The following is a 19,460-nucleotide window of genomic DNA, read 5'->3' as shown; positions in this document are numbered from 1 at the left end:
TTAGCCATAGTGAAAACAGAAACATTCAGAAACATCTATAGATAGGTATTTTAATTCTAATTACACATCCATGTGTTTACAGACACAGCATAGATGACTATCATTTCACCTATTCACCCTGAATAAATTTTAAAAGATATTCTTAAATACTTTTATTTTCTACCCAAGTGTAGTTGACTAAAAACTCTAGTGAGAGGCACACAGAAATTGAAATTGCCTTTTTGAGTTAGGGAAAGCGGAAACAGCTAAGCTTGGTTTCAAACCAAGATGGTAACAGGTAAACTTCTAAACCAAAGTGGTAGTTAAAATTTTAGAGATAAATAATTATTTCATGAGAAATGGTTAAACCAGAAGTGATTTCTGTTTGAGGCTAATGATCATATCTCCAGGAAAAAAATTAGTGACAGTAACACTGGGGTGATTTTTGATATAAACATATAAATATTTTCATGACTGGTGAACAGAATTCTGGCTCAAGCTGTATCAAAAAAAGTAATGACCCTTCTCACCTCCCAGTTTCTAAATAAGAAGAAGTTTATGAATTCAAATTCCTTGAATGAAGAGAAAAATCAAAGATCTACAGGAAGGATCCTATTATAACATCATGTATCTAATCCTGGTCCTTACCATGAGCCTATAAGTTCTGGATATTTATTTGAAGAAAGGGAACTATCTGATCTTCTTACAGATACTTGAATCCATGCTCTATCTTATCACAAATTCCTTGGAATGAATAATGTCTCGATGATCTGGTCTTCATGTGGGGATTTCTTTAAGCCAGGTAATAGATGGTGTTGCCAACAGAGTTTGCCTCCTTTGTCGCCCAGTGACAGACTAAGCCATTCATGGTAAGTTCCCAGTTTAAAGACTACAGTTTATTTTTATTTTTATTTATTTATTTATTTATTTATTGAGATAGAGTTTCACTCTTACTGCCCAGACTGGAGTGCAATGGCGTGATCTTGGCTTACTGCAAACTGTGTATCCTGGGTTGAAGCGATTCTCCTTCCTCACCCTCCCAACTACCTGGGATTACAGGCACCTACCACCACACCCAGCTAATTTTTGTGTTTTTAGTAGAGATGGGGTTTCCCCATTTTAGCCAGGCTGCCTCGGTCTCCCAAACTGCTGGGATTACAGGTGTGAGCTACTGTGCCTGGCCCTAGTGTGTAGTTTAAATACATATAAAGTGAACTAATCCCCGTATTGCCTCACTGCTGTATGCAGTAAGGAGGTCAAAAAAAGACTGACTAGAAATCATTATCATGTCTCTTTCTATAATAAAAGAATAAATCAAAAGCAGTACTGCCTCTAAAGGGAAAATGCCATGAATGTTAAAGACTAAAATAAAGCAGTGTGATGAATCATATTATAATATTATTCTGTTTTCTTATTTGGCCTTTGCAGAGATATATTTTATGAAGATGCAGGAGCCTGCCTCCTCCATTAATTTCCTGCAGGCCCAGAAGTCTCAGTATTTTCACAGGCTTTCTCTGGATCAGAAAACAAGTTGTTTCTCCTTGTACTTCCTAACATAGGGAGAAGGCAGAGGACCCAATGCTAAATTGGTTTCTTTAGATTTTTAAGTCATAAAATATTGGATTTTATATATACATAAAATCACACATACATAAAACAGTGTTCTGAATATTCTATCCCTTTATATAGAATACATTATCATTTTATATTCTCTCTATATATGTAGTAGGATACTAATGTATATAAATTTGGTAGAATACTGAGCATCTAATGTCTATCTAGATGGTCTAGGCCATGGGGTGAGAAGCTTTTTCACTTGTGTGTTATGATCTGGTGGATCCAATGGGTCATTAAAGGATCATGACAGATTGGTTGGTGTGGGAAGTTTGGAGTAAACCTTGACAGGTAAATCTCACCTGGGGCTTTGAAAATATCAGAACAAGTAACTATTTTTATTTAGAGAAATAGCTCCTACTTCAGCTCTGAAGGACACCAGGTTACTGTGTTCCTGAGCTGATCTTTTAATGACTATTATCTATTTCTCTAGCTATAAACTTAGGTATAATCAACCGGATTGGACTCAAACAGGTCCAGATGGCATAAGTAAACTGTATAGTCAGGTTGCTCAAACTCTAGTGTGCCCACAACTGCCACACTGTTGTTCCTCTCTGCAGCTCTGACAATGTCCTCATGGAAAATGTTCTACAAACCACTGACTATAAATTAAAGATATTGGACAAGTTTATAAATGCCTTTTATGATCTGGCTGCTAGTGCCATCCAGAAGTGAACAGTTCTACAATTCTTCACTAAAATGTGATTGAAATTGTCATAAAAAATTAATGAAAACAAAATGTTACATACATGACACTATTAATAGGATTATGTAAATACTGGTGATGGAATAATGACAGAAAATATGGATTTTAATTTAATGAAAACAAATGTTACATGCAAAGACTCTTAAGATGATTATGTAAATACTGTTGAATGGAATGATGACGGAAAATACGGCTTTTGCCTTAAAGTGTAATTTATTGAAAAGAAAAAAGAAAATCTCTGTCACTGCACAAAACTATTTTAATTGATGGCACTTACAGAACTGGCAATTCAAAGACTTTTTAAACAAAATGTCCACTAGAAAACTTAGTAAACACTTTAATACCCTCTGATTAGGTGCCCTCCATATGGCAAGACACAACTGAAATTTAGACAATAAACTCTCTAGGAAAATTTAGCTTAAGAAAAAGAATGATATGCTATTAAGTAGATAACTCAAAAAGAACAATTTCCTTCAATATGGGATTTTACTATTCTAAAACAACAGTCCAGTCTTCAGATAAGATGGTTTTCCTTGAGAGGAGAAATTCAGAGAATGAAATTTTCAATCATATCTGTAAATAGAAATAGAAATATGTGGTGAGTTATATTAAATATTTTTGAAGAAAAGAAAAGCTCTTATGGTAGAACACGTTTTACTATTTTCTCTTCGTATTAGACAAGCTCACAATGTTATTTATGCTTTCCTGTTACTGACATACCTATCCATTGCTCTTGGTTTTTAAGCTACAAAGACATTTTTATTACTAAATTGTATTTTGTTTTGTGGTATTACTGAAGATATGGCAATGCAATTAGAATAAAAGGCTTTCACATAGGTTAAAATTTGGTCATTTTCCTTGGTTTAATGTATTAGAAGGGAAGTTTCCACCACTGGAAAAGGAAACACACACACACAAACACACAATTGGAAGCTCCAATGTAGTGGTGAAAATAATTGAACTTATAGACCTTTTTAAGTGGTGTTGACAGACTAACACTTTATTTATCTATGTGACTTGTTAAGGATGTCTATTTGACCATAAAAAATAAGATCAATGGTTAGATACATAATTTCCAAACTTACCAAGGGCCCTAACTGTGGAGTTCCTTGAGAATTTACTTAATTCTTCCGAAATAATGAAAATTGTTAAAATCATGTGATTAAAGGAAGTCATTAATAAAGATTTGCTAAATCAGGAAAAAATGGACTTTTACCTATTCAGTGTTTATTTTGCCCACAATATACTTAACAGAGATTACTATATTTGATCACCCTCAGGATTATAATAAATAAGGATTATTATAAAATTTCAAGTAAGCAAAAAGGTTAGGATTTGAATTTAGGACTACTGAACACCAAAATATGTGCTATATTACCTACCCAGTGTTTTTATACTTATCATAGGTATAACCAGAAGGAAGTCATTTAAAGATTAGTAAAAGCGCAAAAAGGATAATGTTGAATTACATGTCAGAAGTCTTTATATTTTTAACTTGAAAAGAAGTTATTTTCCAGGCTCATTAGAATAAATATCACTTATAGAATAGATAATACTGTTCCACATGTTACTAAGAAATTGATAATATTAGCCACAGGTCCCACAAAATATTATCAATTTTCCATTTCAGAACATATTAGTCCTTTGCAGTAGGCATTGATTTGCCATGTTTAATCTAAATCTGTTCTTATGGTATCCTCTCCAAGCTATTCTATTTCATTCCTTTGGTAGAACATCAAGATGTAGTAATTTAAATGAACTTACCACCACTGTAGCATGACGTTATTTTTTTCATAATTTTCATGAGCAGTGGGATTGGAGATGTCGGAAAACGGTGGGAAAGGAACATACTGCATGATTTGTGGATAGTACCAAACAGCATAGGGGTAGGCAGCAAGTTGGTTGAGCTGCTGGAAAGGCTAGAGGGAAAAACATTTGAAAAGCAACAGTGTATGAGCAATTGCTTTTTTCAGTCCCTGAAAAATATCAATACATCTCATTCATTTCCAAGATGCCTGTTAGCATGATAAAAAATGATTACTCTGTGAGGGAAAAGAATAAATCAAAATCTTCTATGGTGAACCATGTTGAAGAAACTTTCAGAAGGTGCTCTTTTAAGACACCTGAGGGGCAATGAATAAATCACTTTTTTTAAGGACATTATTTAAAACTGAACTCCAAGAACCCACATTACTCACAGGTCCACTTATCAGAGCCCAGAAGAGAGTAGTAGCATACATTTCATTATTATTTACGTTATAAACTCAAGGGAATTTTTGCCATTTAGATATATAATTTTCCTTAAAGCCACTGGGGTCAAAGTACAGGCCCCGCACCCAGGGTCAACATAGCTGTCTTTCAGAAATGCCAGGAACAGAAAAAAATAATAATTCTTTAATTCCTAGGCCACTGTTCTTTTCAAACACTAGAGTTTTGGGGCCAAAACTATTTTCCTTTCTATAATTTTGGAATAGTTGCTTCTGTTGATTCATAATGAGATTACACTTAATTTTTTCTGTGTACTAATAATTGCATTGTTCATAGAAACAGTTGCATATAATTCTCTACATATTCAGGTGGAAGTTCTTTGCTGGAATTAGGAAAATCTTTAAAAGCATTTAAAATGTTGCTGTGGACACCTGCCTATGTAAAGATTAAAACAAATATAAAATCTAGAATTTTTTAAGATAAAATAAGGTAACTACCTCAAGATAGAACTGGCCCTGTTCTTAATAGAGAGACCGAGAGAGAGAGAGAGAGAGACAGACAGACAGACAGAAATAAGTGTCTATGATTTGAATGTGTTTCCCAAAGATCATATGTTGGAAACTTAACATGCAATACAACAGTGATGAGAAGTGGGACTTTGAAGAACTGATTAGTTCACAAGGGCTCTGCTCTCACAAATTAATTAATGCTATTATCATAGGAGTGGGCTTACTGTTGCAAGGGTGAGTTTGTTTTGACTGAGTTTGACCCTCTCTTGTGTATTCTTTTTTGCTCTTCCACCATGGGATGATGAAACAAGAAGGCCCTAGCTTGACAGATGTTGGCCTCTCAATCTTGGACTTACAGCCTCCACAACTGTTAACCAAATAAATTTCTGTTCATTATAAATTACTTAGTCTGTGGTATTCCGCTATAGCAGCACAAAACAAACTAAGGCACTAGTTTAGTAATTTACATCCAACTGAACATGAGGATAGGGCAAATTATTGCTACTCCAAACCCTCATTAATATGAAAAATGCATATATAGTTGTCACACTTTTTTTAAAAATAATTACATTGAAGTAATAGGTCATGCCTGTAATCCCAGCACTTTGGGAGGCCAAGGCGAGTGGATCACTTGAGGTCAGGAGTTTGAGACCAACCTGGCCAACATGGTGAAAACCTGTCTCTACTAAAAATACAAAAATTAGCTGGGCATCGTGATGCTTGCCGGTAATCCCACCTACTTTGGGATGCTAAGGTATGAGCATCACTAGAACCCGGGAGGCAGAGGTTGCAGGGACCTGAGATTGTGCCACTGCACTCCAGCTCAGCAACAGTGTGAGAATCTGTCTAATAATAATAATAATAATAATAATAATAATAATAATAATATTCACATGGAAAATTAAGACCAAGTAATTCTTTGGGGCCCAAATGAAGAGAATACTTGCCTTTATTTTCTTTTTACTTTAGCCAGTGACAGTGATTACAGAATTTCAGAAAAAAAAAACTGAGGGTAAAATTTGATGTACTGTGAGGAACTAAAAGTTTCTTTCTCTAGTTGTGGAGGATGTTCCATGGCTTTCTTTACATGGTTTTTTTTTTTTTAATTAGCATGTTGTACATAAATTGAATCATTAATGGACAAGAGACACTGAATTAAACATACAGTTATTATCTTTAAATGTGAAGACACAATATGTCACTGTAAACATCAAGACATGGGAGTTTTGGAGGAGGAAATAAATTGATAGACACATATTGTTTTTCTCCACAAATGAGAAACCAAAGGTCCAAGAGAATACACAATGTGCTCAAGGTCATATGCTTAGAAGTTGTCAGAACTGAGATTTAAGTTGGGAGTGAGAAATGTTTGAGAAGAAAAAAATCTCTTCAAGAGTAGGGGGCTATTTAAGAGCAAACATATTTAAGCTTAACAAAATATTATCGTTTTGTAATATATTAAGCAAAATATTACCACTTGGACATGGCTGTTTTCATTCATTCTGCGAATTTGCTCCTGCATAAAAGGAAACACATTCTAAATTACTTAGACATCTTCTGGTACAACACATTTATCTTACATTGCACCAGAAGTATACATAACATCATTCATGAAATTTAGAATAGACTGTATTCTATGCCACAGTTAGCAAAAAATGTCAAAACACTTTTTATTTTCTAATGTCAGAAAAAAATTTTAGCTAAAGGCTAAGCTCACTATAGTTTGGAAAAATAAACAATTAGTAAGGTTCATACTCTGAGGAAAAATAATAACCTACCATTTCTCTAGGACTACATATTTTTCTATTTATGGCTATTTATTAATTATTTAAATTTTGTCTTTTGTGACTTTTAAGTAAAATATTATCAGATAGTGTTGGTAGAACACTCTCTCAGAATATATTTATGTTAAAAGAGAATCATGCATTATAAAAACATAACACATGAAGGAAATACTAAAATATTTTAGATTTAATAAATAATCTCACCTGGGCATGGGCAGCTTGCTAGGGAGGAGAAAACATTCTGTTTTAGTATTTTCATTTTATTTACTCATTAATAAGAAACATTTGCTGGGTACCTTCATTTGTTCAGGGACAATGTTAAATACTGGAGATACCACTGTAAAATACTACAAAATCTCTCAGGAGGACAAGTAGGTTCTAACAGTTGTGGAGGTTACAGACTAGCCATATCATATCTATGGTACTAAAATATATTATTCAGGTAATTTTCTAGATCAATAATGATGAATTCTATTGGGGTACTAATGTGTTTAAATTTATTTGGATACTATTTTAAACACAAGTTACCTGAAAATGGAAACTAGAGTAACAATTAGGGTCCATATTAAATTCATTACTGATTTTCATCTTCCTCTATTGATAACGATTAAAAATGCTAGCATGCAATTTTGCTGAACTAAAACCAAGCATTTCCCAAAGCCTTCATTACGTCAAATTTGTTTGTAGTTACTGAAAGGTTTTTATTGTCCTCCCAAAAGAAAGACTTTTATGTTACTCAAAAGGGTCAAAACCAGTGTTAAGCAGATTATGTGAGTTTTGACAGAAGCAAATCTGATGTTTAGCATTCCTGTTTCCTTTCCCAGAATCTATCCTGTTTCCTTAAATGGAAAGTTTATTTGACATATCTGTGATTTCACAGGTAAGCATATTTGTGAAATTCTCAACCAGGACATAATGTATCATCAGGGAGGTTAAAAGTGGATTTGCAGTAGAATGTAGTCACTTTCTCCCTGGTTAGTAAGTATGGATAATATATAGAACTTTAGTCCAGGAATAAAGAGAATGAGCATTGCCCGCAAATATGCCGGCAATCATACAAATAACTTGCCAATTATTGGTCAAGGCTAGAATAAATAATTTCTTAAGAAAAATAAAAATATATTTAGAAATGGCCCCAATTTAAAATTTAATATGTTTTAATTCTATAGTAGAATATGATTTTGTATTATAATGAATAAAATATTACCAGCTGAAGTTGGTTGTATTCGTTCAGTCTACAAAACTGTTCCTATTTAAAAAGAAAAATATTCTCAATTGCTTGGATGTCATTCAGTCCAACCCCATCATTTTCATATGATGAAACAAGAATCTAACAATGCTCTTTCCCAAGGGTAGAGAATGAGGAACTATTACACCTGAGTGCCATTTCTACCCCAAATAATTTGGATCTCTTCCATTATTCCCTTTTAAAAACATTTTAAAAAGCAACTTCTTGAATTTAAATTATAATTCTGTCTGATATAAATTAGTACAGCCAATTTTAGTTACAATATATCAGAATTATTAAGAAAGTTAAAACTGTTTTTTTGTTTTCTGACTGTGAAGATTTAACTTTGGCCAAATTATATTAGAATATTAAATGGACAGGGAAAAATAATTTTTCAAATGCTATCCAACATTTATTGACAGTTTGCTCTGTGTCATGGATTACATTAATTGCTTTACATCATCTAATATTTATTATTATTGCCATTTTAGGATTAAGTTATAGACTTATACTGGGAAAGTGAACGGTTCAACATCACATACGTGTAAAAGGTAGAGCTATGAGTTGAACTCAAGTGTAACCAGATCTATAGACTGCCACTTAAATACTATGTTATGTAGATTCAAAAGGAGACTATAAATTACAAATATTCAACTAAAACTGTGAATTAGATAACTGGGATAAAAAAAGTCGCTAGCTTTATTTTTAGAGGGGGAATAAGAAAACATCTAGATCCCATCAGACTAGTTACAATAAAGTCTAGCAGATATTGAAAAGGATAAATAATTTATTAATACAACATTCTCACTCATTCCTTGGTATATTTATTTGCCTTTGATAAAACTTTAATGCCACCTTTCCAGATGGCATTGGTATAGCATGTTTTCCCGTGTGTGTGTGTGTGTGTGTGTGTGTGTGTGTGTGTGTGAAAGTAAGTGCATTTTAATTATCCTGGAAAATATTAATATATTTTAAATTTAGCAAATATGTCTTACCGCACACTTACTGAGAGACATTTCCTTTAAAAAAATTAAAACATGCATAGTTTTAATTTCACGACATTAATTTACATTTAAAGTTAAAATATGAATCAACAAAACTATTACTAAATAATTGCAGTGAATTGATTTTAGTGATAAATTCCCAAAAAACTGAGACAAGATTAATAATTTGAACCACATATTATAATCACATTGCTTTTCCTTTTCTCACTGCTTTAACCACTACATTGCTCCGAATGCTGGGGGTGGATGTGAAGTAATGATTTTTATTCAATTAACAGAAACCCCACTTAAGTGAGTTGGTTTTATTTTGGTAACTTGCATGAAGGTCTTCTTCCAAAGTCAAAGGAAAAACCGCACCACTTTTTTTGTAGGCTGACTTTTTTTCTCAAGATTAACACAGGGCAAAGAGTGGAGAGTAGCTGGAGGAGTCCAGTGTCTGATTAATCTAGAATTGGTTAAATTCTAAATGGTTTATGAAATGTTTACTTCATGGGTTTATAAGCATGGTAATTGTTAGAATTTTTAATGATAAGATTGAGTTTTAACAAAATCTGCGAAGGACAAAGTAATTGGTTAAAAAAATAATTTGGACATCACAGATGGCCAGATAAGATTGTTTGCCCAGAAATAATTTTGTCAATTTGTCTCTGACAAACAATTGCTTTCTTACTTCTTTTGGATAGCTACTCACATACTAAAACTAGAATAGTGCCACATATACACTGCCTTGTACAATGAGACCTTAAGGGATATGTAATCCTCACGGTACAAGTTTTCATAATTTTTTAAATTAGTTGGGACACAGAATTAATATCAAAATTATTTACCTCACTCGATGAACTGATGCTGGATTCCATCTTCTAAAAGAAAGAAATCTAGTGTTAATTATCCCCTGGGATTTTTAGAATTTGAAGGAAACTAGTTCCATGTCATCATGGTGAAATGCTTACCATGGTAACATTATAACTGAATAAGTGGTATGGAAAAATTCAGGCGTACTACATTGTATTTTCTTGGAGTGTGAATTTTACTTGAAAAATTATGGTGGTAGGTTTAATAACTTATCTGGGAACATAAAAACTTAAAAACAATTGTTTTTAATTTAGGAAAACAAACACAAGTTTATCATTGAGTAGAATGCAAAATTTGCATAGATTTTTGTGACAAAAATGAAACCTCTAAGAAAGAACCATATTTAGCTGGGTACCCAGAACCCTGGGTTAAACATCTGTTCTCATCTGTCCTTGGGGCTTCTTTGATGTGAATAAAATGGAAACATTAAATACAATGCACAATCTTAAGATGAAATTAAAATTACATTAGATTTTAAAATATTTACTTTGAAATATTTACTTTTTCTTCAAAGTCATTTATGTTTATATTTATATATACATATAATTTTACTTTCCAAATACATACATATTTTAACAGATTAATTTTAATATTCAACAGACTTTATCTCTGGGGATGGTTGATTAACCATATGTAATAAGTCAGCATTTAAAAAAATATAATTGTAGAGTAGGTAGTATAGCTCACTGATCCTAGGTAATTGCTGCCATAGATTCTTTCTGCCCAAGGAGAGGGAGAGGGGCGTGGGTTGACAAACTATTAAGTTGGTGCAAAAGTAATTGAGGTTTTTGCCATTACGCTGTAAAAACTGCAATTACTTTTGCACCAACCTAATAGTATTGCCATTATTTTTAATGGTAAAAAGCACAATAACTTTTGCACCAACCTATACCTGTTGGGTAGTATGCTCACTACCTGTGTCTAACATACTCATGTAAAAATCTTACATACATACATGCACTTGTATCTAAAATAAAAAAGTAATCTCATGCCCTGGGATGTCAGAGTCAGTGTTCTGTGGGACTCTCATTTTAAACATCCATGCACCTTTTGTTTTTATTTTATATTTTAATGAATAAGCATTTTTTTACTAATTATTATTTAAATGGCTTAAATTCCGTCTTCCAATTTCAACTTTATCTAGCACAACATTGTACATTCTTGAGTATAATATTCCTGTTTGAGAAGTTCAATAAGTTAAAATTAGAATAGGATTAATTTAAAATTAAAATGTTAACATTTTAAAATTCAGTTTCTTATTTTGCTTAATTTCAGAAGACAGTCTTTTTAAAATGAAGCATGCTGCATATACTATGTTTGATACGTAAGTGTAGAGTTCACTAGAATGAATGGGTCTTACCTCAGGCTCTGCCACAACACAGTTCTTAAGAAAGAAAAAATAATCAATTTCATTTTTCATGACAAATAGTCAAATACAAAAGTAATGATTACCAAATAAAATGGATGTCAAAGAAAATAGAAAACTGAGACAATATAAAAGTAATAAGAAAAACTAAAAAAACTGCCTACTTTATCTCTGAGCCAAATGAATCTGCATTTTGAAGTTTAAATAAAACGTTTCGGATTCTTCTATATTGTAGCAAATCAGTGAAAACAAGTTTACATTTTCCTTTATCCAGCATGACTTTTTGCTTTCCCTCTTTTAAAACTTGGCTTCTGGACTCTGAGCAGGACACTGCACTGAAGCTCATGCAGTAAATACAACTGGACTAAAGGAGAGCACTGATTTAATGGTGTGTAAATACCTAAGCAAAAGAACTTGCTCCATCTAGTATGTTTTGCTCAGTTTTCACGACTACAGCAATACAGAGATCAGTGACATTATCCATAGAATTTAAATTTAAAATATTTGTGTTGGTTTGGTTATTCTGGCCAATGTATGATACACTATTTCTTTTCTTTCTTTGAATTAGAGTTATCTGCCATAGTTTTTATTTAAAATAATAATTTATTTGGGGAAATATGTATTGTTTCTTTTCCTCATATTGGTTTAATAATTTTAAAACAAAGGGTCTCACCTGAGTAGACTCATTCCTAGTATCCTGCCAAGACAGTCAATCAGTTAGGTATGACAGATTGTTAAGAAGATATATATTTTATCTCATAAAGTTTGAGCACCTGCTCTCTCAATACCAATTCTACTAGAAAACTAGTAGACAATCCAAATCAAAGATGTTATGGTTAAAGAAAATAATTGAGTATGACTATGTAAATATTCTTGAGCCAGATATTGTATTACTTCATATAATACCCTTGATAAAGCATTCCTTTAATTTTGGTGATAAATGTGAATACATAATTGCATTTATTTGTTTATTTGTTATTTCATTCATTCACACTAATGCCTTGTTTCATCACAGTTGCACAATTAAGTCAATGAAATCATTTTCTTCAGAATTCTCAGCAGACTCCATTAGTCACTACAAATGTATGAGTGAAAAGTTCAAGGAAAGGACAAAACCATAGAAAAATGCTTTTTTTTCCTAAAGGAAAACTTTTTTTCTACTACAAGAATATATACTTTTGCCATACTCTTTCAAGAAAAACTTTGGTACCTTGATTTCATCAGTCTGTTTTTCTCTCAGAATGTTTCTCTGCTAAAATCAATAAAGTGTACCTTGTAAAATATGTTTTCATGAAAACAAACTTTTAACATAATTTAAATTTCATTGATGTTTCTTACCCTGTTCATACCATTCATGTATTCCTTAGGGATAAAAAAGAAAACATAAACAATATTAGTGAAACAAGACATACATGAGTGGAAATCTATGAGAAACTGTACTTCACATCGTGCTGATACAAATTTAAAAATAAATCCATTTTTCCTGAATGAACTAATATTCCTTATTATATCATTTCTAACCTTAAGTGGTCTTTCTCACTACACAATTAAGTCAATCAAATCAGTAGTCTTCAGAATTCTCAGCAGAATTCATTAGTGCTGATACAAATTTAAAAATAAATTTATTTTTCACAAATGAACTAATATTCCTTATTGTATCATTTCTAACCTTTAAGTGGTGTTTCCCTACTCCTTCTTTGTGTAAGGCTAGTATGTAAATGTGCATTTAACAATATTTTTAAGTTTGTTCCACTCAAATTTGTTATCCTTGACTTTCACTTTGTTTTAGGCACTGTTCTGAGTCTCCTGATCTTAACACTTACTTCTCTTTGTTAATTGCACGGTAAATTCTGTGGAGTCATTCTTACCTCTCTTGATTCTAATGGTATAGGCTACAAAAAAAAAAGTTATGTTAAAATTCATTCATAGTTGAGTTATCTATCAAATCATTTAGATAATGTCCTTGAATTAAAACGTTATGTTCTTCTATTCAACAATTAAGTCAAAAATTATAGAGAATGTGACACATATGTATTATTTATAGTTAAGAGCATTCTATTATAAGGAGTGAGGAAATTGTAAACCTCTACATACGTCACGGAAAGGAGAGCAGAGTGTTTTGGAGAGGCAAACGTTTAGGTACAAATTAAAATATAAAGCAGCTCTTTAACATATACATATCTTGTTTTTATATTCTTTCTGGGTGTTTGGATGACTGAATGAAGGGAAGGGTTGATTAACTTAGGTTAAACAACAACAACAACAAAAAACCACTTTGTTTTAAGGCAATTTCTTGCTCTGTTGCCCTTGTGCTATCACGACTCATTGCAGCTTTAACCGCCCATGCTCAAGTGACCCTCACACCTCAGCTTCCCAAGTAGCTGGAACCACAAGTGCATGCCGCCACATCCGACTATTTTTTTTTTTTTCAAAATTTTTTTTGTAGAGACGGGGTTTGGTTATGTTGCTTAGGCTCATCTCGAATTCCTGGGCTCAAGCAATCCTCCTGCCTCAGCCTCCCAAAGTGTTGGGATTACAGGTGTGAGCCACAGCACCCAGTGAAAAAAACATTTTTATAAACAAAAATTAAATAATTTTTCCCATAAAAGTATGTTTCTTCTTTTAAGAATAAGTGGATAACACTTACCAGAAGAAGCCTGAGAAACTTTCCTTCTTTGATAATTTCTTATTGAAATTAAATTGTGAATTATAAAAATAATAAAAACACCAAAAAACCACATTATTCTCATTTGAACACAAATGCTCCATTTAATTCGGTAAACCAACAGATTTCTTAGCTAGAAGAACAAATAATTAGTTTTAGTTTTATGATCTAATTTTACAATCTAAAGAACACCTACACCTTAATTAGTTCCTTCTTCACCAGGCCAGTAAATTTAATAAGTCTATGCTTACCAAAATGGCTAAGAAGTCAAATAGGAATTTCATCAAAACAGAATTTAGAGAGCAATCCAGGTACTTGAGTTGTTGGATGCATTTGAAGGGAAATAAAAATTGTAAAGAAGAAGACATTCAACATGCATGACAGCTAACTGAAAGAGAGCAAAAGGAAGAGAGAATCCTGACTCCCCATAAACAGAGCTTACCTCACTGCTCTCTGATGGATTCTGTAAAAAATAATAATTTTTAAATGGTATTATTCCAATTGCAGGACAGAATGTAGGATTAGTTGTGCTCATAGAAAGTTGTGGTAGAGGTAACTAATTCAAGATTCAACATATCAAATGAGACCAAACTGTAAATCACATGCTTGAATATGTGTAACATTGAAAAAAGCAAGAATACATTAAAATAAACATGTTAACACATTCTGTTTAATTAACTATTTCTCTGGAATAAAAATAAGATTTTTATTAACATAAATGTTTATCTAAGTCAGTGTGCCGTCCTCTAAGTTTTGTGAGAGCAAATACCATCTGACAGTGCTTGAACTAAAGAAATGATGCGTCAGCAAAAGTGAAGCAGGCTGTTTCATAGAGAAGGGAAGCGCACATTTGGAGTTTGTGCTTCACAATTAGAGTGAGTTCTTGGAATGCAGAATAGAATATTTACCTGAAGGCGTTCTGGGTATCTAAGAGGAAGTTTCTGTGAAAAACAATGCAAGAATTGTAAAACAAAAAGTAACTAAAATGACAATAACAATATAATAATACACATATAATACGATGATTTTTGACACTGCCATTTTCAAAAGGTATGTGTTTTAATAGCAATATTTGTCAGAGACCAAGTTTCTCTGGGACTACAGGGAAAAAAAAAGAAATCATAATTATTTTTAGACAAATATCAAAGGAAAATAATCATTTCCTTTCTTTAGATTATGGCTGGTAGTTGAGAAAACTATGTAAAACATCTTTAAAAAAGTAAAAATTCTGGGTTAGTTTGAATCCAGAATAATAAACAATTTATTTAGTTTTCTGAACTATATATATTACACCATAGTTCTAAAGATGATTTTAAACTAGTATAAAAAATGTTGGGCAAAATATAATTTCCTAATTCAAACGCTTTCTGGGTTTTATTTTTATCATCACTTAAATTATACGAAAATTGATCTCATTCTGCATTTTGAGTGTGGAGACAAGACCACGTTAAACAGTGACATAAACAAATAAAGAACCCTATTGTTTGCTTTGGAATAAAAGTGTAACATCTATTTTCTGGGCTGCTTTTCCCCACTTCCTGGTAGAATGACAAGATAAGAACTGCTCAGACAGTTCATTCCTGAGGAAGTTTTATCATTGTTTTGGTAACTTGCAAGCAGAGATTTCTTTCTATTGATGCTTAGTTTATAGCATAAACAAAGACTATTGGTTCAGAAGTTGACAATTCCTGATTCTGCACTTTCCAAAGGAGAATTTAGAGAACAAGTCTGTCAGTGTAAATGACAGGCTATATCTGCATTTCAGAAATTTTTCTTCTGTATGAGATAATTTCAGTGTCCAAATATCCCTTATCATCCCTCTAAACTGATGTTTTTTCCAGTCAGGTGATTCCTGTTTATTCTTCTCATTCATTAACTACACATAACAGGAGAGAACAGAGAAAACTTTTTGGTTCACATACTTATCTAATTGATATAAACACTCTTTTTGAGAAGAAAGGTAATTTTAATTCACATTATCTAGTTTCATTGTCTACAGTGACCACAATAAATTGATCACTCAATTAGCTGAATCACCCTAGTTTTCTATCCCTTCTTGGGGGAAGAAAAGTTGACACAAGCCATCTCAAATAAGGGTTTGATTTTGATTCCAAAAGTAGGATACATTGGAACATGTGGCTTTGTGTTATATTTGGTAAAGAAATGTTGGACAACTATTACATTTTTAGAAATATGAGAATTTTGTAGTAGACTCAAGGAACAGGCCTAATCACATTGTTTGTTGCTATTTATTATGTTGTGCATTACCTTATTCTTTTTCTTACTTTTAAATTTTTAGCTCTTTTTTATTGTGGGGTGCTTATAATTCAAGTCAGACATTTTATTCAGAGTTAAGGCTCTCAGTGGACTATGCAATAATGATGAAAATGTGAAGCATTACTGCATTTCTATTGTCAAGACTTCAGAGGCCAATTAGAGATCATCCAGTGCTTTAAGATTATTTCTCTGGGTATCCTATGTTTGATGAAGTGTCAGGTCATTTCTAACAAGAGTCTAAGACTTTCTAAATTCTCTACTGAACTTACAGGCCTGGCAAGAGCAACAGCCACAAGACAGGTGAGAATGAGAAGCCTCATGGTTATCAGAGCCTATGTAAGAGAACAAAAAAGAAAGAGTTAGATATTATTACGTTAAATTTGTTTCCTGAAAAAAATTCTTGATTTTTCAACAAAGGAGCAAATTATGATAAAAGTAGGCTGATTTGAGGAGCTGTAATGTGAATTTTTATAAACTTAAGATTTTAAAAACTTTACTACTCAATATCAATGTTTACCATTCTAGTTATTTTTCTTAGTTCTTATATTATTTAGAAATACTAATTTCTTACAAACATTTTTCTTCACTAACACTTTAAAACATAACATTTTGTTCTTAATGTAATAATATGGCTTAGAGAAATAAAGAAGTGCTAATATTGAAATACAATTGAAAAAAGAAAACACTTTTCCTCCTAGATGACAAATCAGATTTTCTAAAGTGGGCAATAAAGTTAAATCCACTGAGAACTGGAATTTAATTTTATTGAAAAGTTTTGAAAATGAGCTTCTCTTTTAAATCTATTTGAGAGCATTCTTTTCTTTTAGAGTCTTCATGAAAAATCCTGTCTGCACGTTATGTAAAAGCTATTGATCTCTTTCAATTTTTAAATAAAGAATCTAGCCATAACTTCGTGTTTTGCTACATTGGAATATTCATGACATAAATATATAAAGATGATTGAATTGGATAGAATCAAAATATTGACATGTCTTATATTTGATTTCCAGAGTTTCATTAAATTGCAAGAACCCCGAAATATGGACATCCACATGTACTGGGAAAATGGTTTCCAGAGAAATCATTAGAAAAAAAATCAGGTCACACATACTATTTGTTCACACCTTAATCAACATACAAATGCTGACATTTATATATATTGCTTCAGTCTACAAATTTTAGAATCTAAATGTGTTAATAAAAAAGGCATATTTTTGAACCCAAATAAATTTACTATTTGTGTCTTTCTGAATATCTAAATTTAATAATCATTACAAAGTAGCCATCAATAGCTAATTATCTATAATAGATATTCACATTGTAGAGTTAATTTTGTTGCCCAAATGACATGAAACAAAAATGGCCTTGAACTATTCTGCTAGAAATGGTTTTTGCTATGGTAATTACAAAAATAAGAAATTATTTGCATAACAACTTCTCATAGAATTAGGTAAAAATAATTTAAATTAGCTTACCCCAAGCCTCTACTGAAATTATGTATCAACTTTAAAAATATATTTTAGTTACAAAATTATCAAAAAATGATTTGGTATTTTTATAAAACTGTATTGATTCATCACCTAAAGCTGTAAAATGGTATCAGAATTTGCAAAAGGATTTTTAAGGTGCCAGAAAATCATAAGAAGTTTTAATATTTGCAAACATATGGAAATGGTACAAATATACTTAGTAAACAGTGGAAGAAAGAGATTAGATAATGTAAAATGATAGCAATTTTGCTGTATGTAAACGCAGTACCTTAAGCCCAAGTCTGGAGAGAAGCAAGTTGTGTTGATGACCAAGATGATGGCCGATCTCTTTGCTTTACGCTATTTAAATGTGGTAATTAGAAAATGCTAATTTTGTGGTTTCAGTTCAACCAATAGGTTTATTTAAATTCTAAGAATTCTCCCAAATAGGAAACTAATTTTCTGTCCAATTCCTTTCCCAGGAAATTCTGAGAATTTTCAACAGGGAGTGATTCATGCTATGATAACAGATTACACAAGAAATAAAGTGGCATTATTGCAAATTAAAATACAAAAATTTCCAAATTTATGGCTATTATAAAAACATGATTTTATGTTGAAGGGATAATTTGACAGGAACATATTAATAAAATTCTCTGTATATCTTTTGAAAAATTCAATTCCTATAATGGAAATCCTGGGGACAAAATAGGGTCTTAGAAACGTTCCAATTTCTATCAGTGTACCAGGCCATTAAAAGAATTCATCATTTATTTACCTTTTAAAATGCAGCTTGTCCTCTATTATTTATTGTGACTATCTGCTTTATGGATTAACTTATACTGTATATGCTCTGATCTTTTTTTCAAAGAAGGATATCCAACTGTCCTATGTGTTTTGGTGATATTTAAGCTACAGCAGACAATTTTTTGTTTGCTTTCTTTTAGGCATATTGGTTGTGATAGTATTTATTTAACAAATTATAACATTGACTAATTAGAAGTAATATTTATTCATTAATTTTAATTTTAAAAGATTTTGGAAAATTATGCCATACCTCTGATTTCCTGTTTTTTAAAAGTAAATAAAGGAAAGAAATGAAAATGCCTCTCTCCTATCCCAGACTCTGTTCCTTTATGTTAACTATCATTATACAATGTAGAAAAATACTATATCCTGAGGAAAATATCTGTAATAGAGAGGGTTTTTAAAAATTGTTGTTGACTGCGACTTTGCTTTTTTACAGGAAAAGAATCATACTATATATTTTAGGAAATAAAAAAATAGTAATGATATTTACAGCCTTTTCACAGTCATATGAAAAGGGCATTATTCTGGGTTAACACACATTTCAGACTGGTTAATTTCAGATTGGGGATCAGAAGAGATGTACTTTTCCATATTAAAGTTCTCTTTAGTTAGTGTTTTCCTTACTGACTACATCACATAAATTTCAACAACTTACTAGTGTTTCCTATTCACTGTGATTCATTTAAGAGGCTGAGACAAGCATCAGCTGTATTACAGTACCTTGGTTTTGTCTTTTCCCAGAAGTGTACCCAGGAAAACTGATTTATTTTACTCCTAACTCAAAATCAAGCTATACCTACCAACCAAAAAAAAGGCCAGGACCAGATGGATTCACAGCCGAATTCTACCAGAGGTACAAGGAGGAGCTGGTACCATTCCTTCTGAAACTATTCCAATCAATAGAAAAAGAGGAAATCCTCCCTAACTCATTTTATGAGGCCATCATCATCCTGATATCAATGCCTGGCAGAGACACAACAGAAAAAGAA

At 32.0% G+C, this 19,460-nt stretch overlaps 1 protein-coding gene across 5 annotated transcripts; it reads right to left on the bottom strand.

The window, feature by feature from the left end:
* Positions 1–2,493: 2,493 nt before the first annotated feature.
* On the bottom strand, positions 2,494–18,000 carry CSN1S1 (casein alpha s1). 5 transcript variants are annotated; one of them, NM_001890.2, is made up of 16 exons: positions 17,951–18,000; positions 16,462–16,524; positions 14,824–14,856; positions 14,358–14,378; positions 13,119–13,142; positions 12,589–12,612; positions 12,461–12,502; positions 11,924–11,947; positions 11,245–11,268; positions 9,860–9,892; positions 9,024–9,047; positions 8,008–8,049; positions 7,005–7,022; positions 6,491–6,532; positions 4,064–4,218; positions 2,494–2,872 (listed from the first exon to the last, which is right to left on the bottom strand). In NM_001890.2, coding segments are annotated over exons 2-16 (558 nt in total). In that variant the 5' UTR covers positions 16,513–16,524; positions 17,951–18,000; the 3' UTR covers positions 2,494–2,871. The 5 variants fall into 5 exon arrangements, with proteins under 5 accessions (NP_001881.1, XP_006714152.1, XP_006714153.1 ...); XM_006714089.3 differs by having other exon boundaries at positions 12,461–12,499; XM_006714090.3 differs by lacking the exon at positions 11,924–11,947.
* Positions 18,001–19,460: the final 1,460 nt, after the last annotated feature.

The sequence above is a fragment of the Homo sapiens genome, chromosome 4 (genome assembly GCF_000001405.40).
Source record: "Homo sapiens chromosome 4, GRCh38.p14 Primary Assembly".
In the NCBI taxonomy this organism is placed as follows: domain Eukaryota; kingdom Metazoa; phylum Chordata; class Mammalia; order Primates; family Hominidae; genus Homo; species Homo sapiens.
This window is presented reverse-complemented; position numbering and strand designations above follow the sequence as displayed.

Bases quoted from the DNA above. Each gene is read 5' to 3' on its own strand.
- CSN1S1 (NM_001890.2), bottom strand. From the start codon at position 16,512: ATGAGGCTTCTCATTCTCACCTGTCTTGTGGCTGTTGCTCTTGCCAGG. The intron at 14,379-14,823 runs GTAAATATTCTA...TATTTTTTACAG, and splicing joins GATACCCAGAACGCCTTCAG to AATCCATCAGAGAGCAGTGA. The intron at 8,050-9,023 runs GTAAGACATATT...CTTTTTAAATAG, and splicing joins TGTCTCTCAGTAAGTGTGCG to GAACAGTTTTGTAGACTGAA.